Source organism: Homo sapiens, chromosome 12 (assembly GCF_000001405.40).
Source record: "Homo sapiens chromosome 12, GRCh38.p14 Primary Assembly".
NCBI classification, from domain to species: Eukaryota; Metazoa; Chordata; class Mammalia; order Primates; family Hominidae; genus Homo; species Homo sapiens.
The window spans coordinates 126,048,900-126,053,951 of record NC_000012.12 but is presented as its reverse complement, the minus strand read 5'-3'; the positions used below and the strand labels follow the sequence as shown (position 1 = coordinate 126,053,951).

Sequence of the window (5,052 nt, the reverse complement as noted above, 5' to 3'; positions counted from 1 at the left end):
ATTTTATCAATCCAGCTGCTTCAGGATGATGGGGAACATGGTAAGACCAGTGAATCCCATGAGCATGAGCCCACTGCTACACTTCTTTGGCCATAAAGTGAGTGCCTTGGTCAGAGGCAATGCTGTGTGGAATACCATGATAGTGAATACGGCATTCCGTGAGTCCGCGGATGGTAGTCTTGGCAGAAGCATTGCATGCAGGATAGGCAAACCCATATCCGGAGTAAGTATCTATTCCAGTGAGGACAAACTGCTGCTCTTTCCATGATGGAAGAGCAGCCACCAAGTAGCTGGTTGATCACCCTGAGGAATGGTGCCATATCAAGGGCTCAGTGTGGGTCTCTGCTGCTGGCAAATTGGTCACTCAGCGTTGGCCATAAACTGGTCAGCCTTGGTGAGTGGAAGTCGATGTTGCTGAGCCCATACATAACCTCCATCCCTGCCACCATGGCCACCTTGTTCATGGGCCCATTGGGCAATGACAGGGGTGGCTGGGGAAAGAGGCTGAGTGGTGTCCACAGAACAAGCCATCCTATCCACTTGATTATTAAAATCCTCCTTTGCTGAGGTCACCCATTGGTGAGCACTTACATGGGATACAAATATCTTCACAGTTTTTGACCATTCAGAGAGGTCCACCACATACCCCTTTTCCAAATTTCTTTGTTACCAATTGTCCAATCATGCTTCTTCCAAGTCCCTGACCATCCAGCCGAATCACTGGCTACAGCCCATAAATCAGTATATAACCACATATTTGGCCACTTCTCCTTCCAAGCAAAGTGCACAACCAGGTGCACTGTTCAAAGTTCTGTCCACTGGGAAGATTTTCCTTTGTCACTGTCCTTCAAAGGTGTCCTAGAAAGGGGCTGTTAGTGCTGCAGCTGTTCATTTTCAGGTGGTACCTGCATATCAGGCGGAACCATCTGTACAGAAGACCCTAGTCGTCTCTTCCTCTGTCAACTGAGCATAGGAAACTCCCCACGAGGCCATCGGTGCCAGCTGGGGGAGAGAAGGCCAGGTGGCAGAAGTGAAGACCATGAGCATTTGAGTCCCTTCCTCATGTAACTTACTTGTGCCTTCAGGACCTGCTCGAGCCTGATCACGTATATACCACTTCCATCATCACCCCTTCATTGTGCACACTCTTGCAACTACAGCCTTGGGCCTCACTGACATGTTGTGTCACTATTGGCTTGATTTGTCTTTTCCAGAATTTCACATAAAGAATCATACAGTCATGGCCCACATAATAATGTCATACACAAAGATGGTCCCATAAGATTATAATACCGTGGTTTTACTGTGCATTTTCTATGTTTAGCCTTACAAATATCTACCATTGTGTTACATTTGTCTATAGTATTCAGTACAGCAATATCCTGTGTAGGTTTGTTGCCTGGGAGCAATAGGCGACACCATACAGTCTAGGTGAGTAGTAGGCTCTACCTTCTAGGTTCATATAAGTCCACTCTATAATGTTTGCACACTGACAAAACTGCCTAACAACAAATTTTCTAAAAAAACATAAAACAAAAAACATGTCCCTGTTATGAAGGACAATGACTGCAGTATGTATTCTTTTGTGTCTGGCTTATGTTACTAAGCAAAACGTTTTTTAAGATTTATCCGTATTATTGTATATATAAGAATAGTTTGTTTTTTGTTTTTGTTTTTGTTTTTGTTTGGTGGGGGGCTGTTTCTAGACTATCATTTATTAAAAACAAAACAGGGTATTTGTACACAAGTCTTTGTAAGCACATATATTTTTATCTTTATTGGATAAATACCTAAAGGCATGATTTCTGAATCATATTGGATGAGAATGCTTACGTTTTTAAGAAACATGCAAACTATTTCCCAGAGTGATTGTTCTCTTGCTGTATTGATTGCACCAGCAAAGCAGGAGGATCCCAGTTACTCCACGTCTCTGCCAACTCCCTGTCTCACCAGGATTTTTAATTGCAGCCATTGTGATGACTCATAGAGTTTCATAATTGTGATTTATTTTACATTTCCTTGATGACTAATGATGTTCACCACCTTTTCATGTGTTTATTGACTCTTAAGCTTAACAATTACGTTAAATTGAAAAAAAGGGTGTGGTAGACACGCATCAAAGCCCTTACCCTCTCCTTAACCCGAATTTACAGGCTAGAGGCTGCTAACATTAAATACCCCATTCCCAGATTCATCTGCCACTAGGGTGCCCCATGAGACATAAATGGAAATTGCTGAGGGAAAATAACACAGCTTTTGAGAAAGCTTTCGTGTCTTTTGTAAATTGGAGAAGTTGCGGCTGTTGCTGACTCCTCTTCCACCTCCTTCCTGTCTTTACTGTGCACATGACTGCTGGAGCTGCAGCCACCATTTTAAGACCAAAAGGAAAAAGTGACTTGGGTTGTAAGAATTGAGGTCCTGATTTTGTTGAGTCACTAAACCAATTATGGAAAACACCCACCTCCAGGTTTTTGTTTGTTTGTTATGTGAGAAACACAAACCCTATTGGTCTGAGCCACTGTTACTTAACTGTTCTGTTACTTGCAGCTAAAAGTATCCCTAACTGATGCTAAGTATCTCTTGGGGAAAGCAATGAAGTTGCAAACAAATGGTAATCTTAACGGTAACATGAATATGACTAAAAGTGCTTTTTAATTTGTTTCATAATTCAACATATTTATTGAGCATCTGCTATGTGGCATATTCCATTCTCAGTGATGAAGATTCATCAATGGACACAGTGGAAAAAGGCCCTTCTCTTCTGGAGTTCCTGTTATTAAAATAGAGAAAAAAAAGCATAGGTTGACAAAAAGGATCACTTTAGGTATCAATGAGTGCATTGAGGAAACTGAAGCAGGAGACACGATAGTGAGAGAGGGTTATGCAGGACCCTCCTAAGTGTCCTTGTGAGGAGGTCATGAGAGTGACTTTGATGGAGTGTTCAGACAAATATTCTTTGAGAGGTCACATTTTATCTAATACCTGAATGATGAGAAGGATTCGGGCATGTGAAGATCTTGAAAAATATTGCAGTTAGAGTAACCACTGGAGACCAAGTGTGGTGAGTAGCAGCCAGACTAGAGGAACAGGAGCTGGGTGAGTGAAGGGTGAGTGGGAGGGGTGAGGCCAGAGTGCGGACAGGACAGAGGCTGCATCCTGCAAAGCTTGCAAAGGCCATGATGAGGAGTTTGGATTAGACTCTTAAATCAGGAGTCCATTCATTCTGGAAAGTAGTTCCTCACTAAAATTGGTCTTTTCATCCTCAACCTGTAGAGACCCTTTACTGTATAGTGATCAGGTTTTACAGAACCCATGGTTGTAAGTCATCAGTAGTCACCTCGAGTCAATAGAGCTTCAGACCCCTCTGGTTCTGGTCAATCTAACCCCAGAGATCTGCAGCACGTCCCAGTATGAAAAGAAATGTCTCTATTAAAAACCACCCAGCATTTGGTTTCTGCCACACAGGTATTAGTTAATAAAACACAGAGATTAAGAGCTCAGGAAGTAAACTTTGTTCCCATCTTGACTGTCTATTCACATCTTAACTGCATAATCCTGGGTAAATTTCTCAGACTCTCTGAACTTCAATGATCTCATCTATATAATATTGATAATAAAGGGATTTGTCTCACAGACGTGAGGATTCAGTGATAATGTAGACAAACACTCTAACTAGTGCCTAGGATGCATGAGGAACAAGAATAGTAGCTACTTTCCTTGTCATATCATCAAATACCATTGTCTTGAGTAGGAAAAAGGACAAAGCTGGCAAAAGAGCTCATCTGCAGTTCAAAGAGACACTTGTAATTTCAGCCCCTTACTCTGCCTGAAACCCCATGCTGGTCAGGTATTAATCATTAGCTTACCTCTAGCTATCCAGAGACATTTCCACTCCAAACTGACTAGGCTAAAGAAGTCAATAATTAATTCATAGATAATTTATTACAGAAATATATTTTTGAAAAAAGCAGGATACAATTTAAGTACGTTTCACTGAAGCTACATCTGAAATCACATTGCACTTCTTTTCTTAAACATTTTTCATCATCTGAATTACCTTTCAGGGCTAAGACTAGGGTGAGCCAGGTGAGTCTCACCCACAGCTCAAACCTTAAGGAGGTTCTCACAGTCAGATGCCATCTTTGCACTTGCAGGAGCCTGAGAACTAGTGCCATCTTAAATCTTGTCCCCTGGGTGACTTGCCTTCTGATATGGTTTGGCTGTGTGCCCATCCAAATCTCATCTTGAATTGTACTCCCATAATTCCCACGTGTTGTGGGAGGGACCCATTGAGAGGTAATTGAATCATGGGGGCGGTTTCCCTCATACCATTCTCGTGGTAGTGAATAAGTCTCATGAGATCTGATGGTTTTATCAGGGGTTTCCGCTTTTGCATCTTCCTCATTCTCTCTTTGCCTGCTGCCATCCGTATAAGACAGGACTTGCTCTTCCTTGCCTTCTGCCATGATTGTGAGGCTGCCCCAGCCATGTGGAACTGTAAGTCCAATTAAACCTCTTTCTTTTGCAAATTGCCCAGTCTCAGGTGTGTCTTTATCAGCAGCATGAAAATGGACTAATACACCTGCCTTTTTCTAGTCTGGACCCTGCCACCCTTCTTTGAGTTACAGCTGCCCTATTATCACTCTCAGGCAAATTGCTTGAGCCTGCATTACTGCAAAGGCTGGGATAACAACAGGAGAGGTAAAAGGGGTGCCCATTATTTCCTTATCTCTGACCAAGACTGGAGGCTGATTCTGTCTTCACCTGCTACTAATCTCTAGGCCGCTTCATAGAGATTTTCTCCAATCCCCACAGAGCCAATTTCCTGACAATGACACTAGTAACAGTGGCTAATATGCACTTCATAAAATTGCAGAGTGGATCCCAAGCTGTAAAGATATCATATTCTTTCTTTGTCTTACAGAATAGTTTAAGCTGTGAATCAACCAGGACCCTTAGGGTTCAACAGCGTTCCTGGTGGAAAGTGCCCTTGTGGAATGCAGAATCACTTACATATTTTTGACAACTTGCAACTGACTCCACTGGGGTCAG

The 5,052-nt window shown here is 42.4% G+C and overlaps 1 annotated feature.

Moving 5' to 3' along the window:
- Nucleotides 1,420–2,619: an enhancer, noted in NCBI's record as "P300/CBP strongly-dependent group 1 enhancer chr12:126535879-126537078 (GRCh37/hg19 assembly coordinates)". NCBI's record gives its function as "activates an origin of replication core promoter dependent on BRD2, BRD4, P300/CBP, MED14 and CDK7 cofactors, with strong dependence on P300/CBP, by STARR-seq in HCT116 cells {active_cell/tissue: HCT116}" and the evidence as "EXISTENCE:reporter gene assay evidence [ECO:0000049][PMID:35650434]".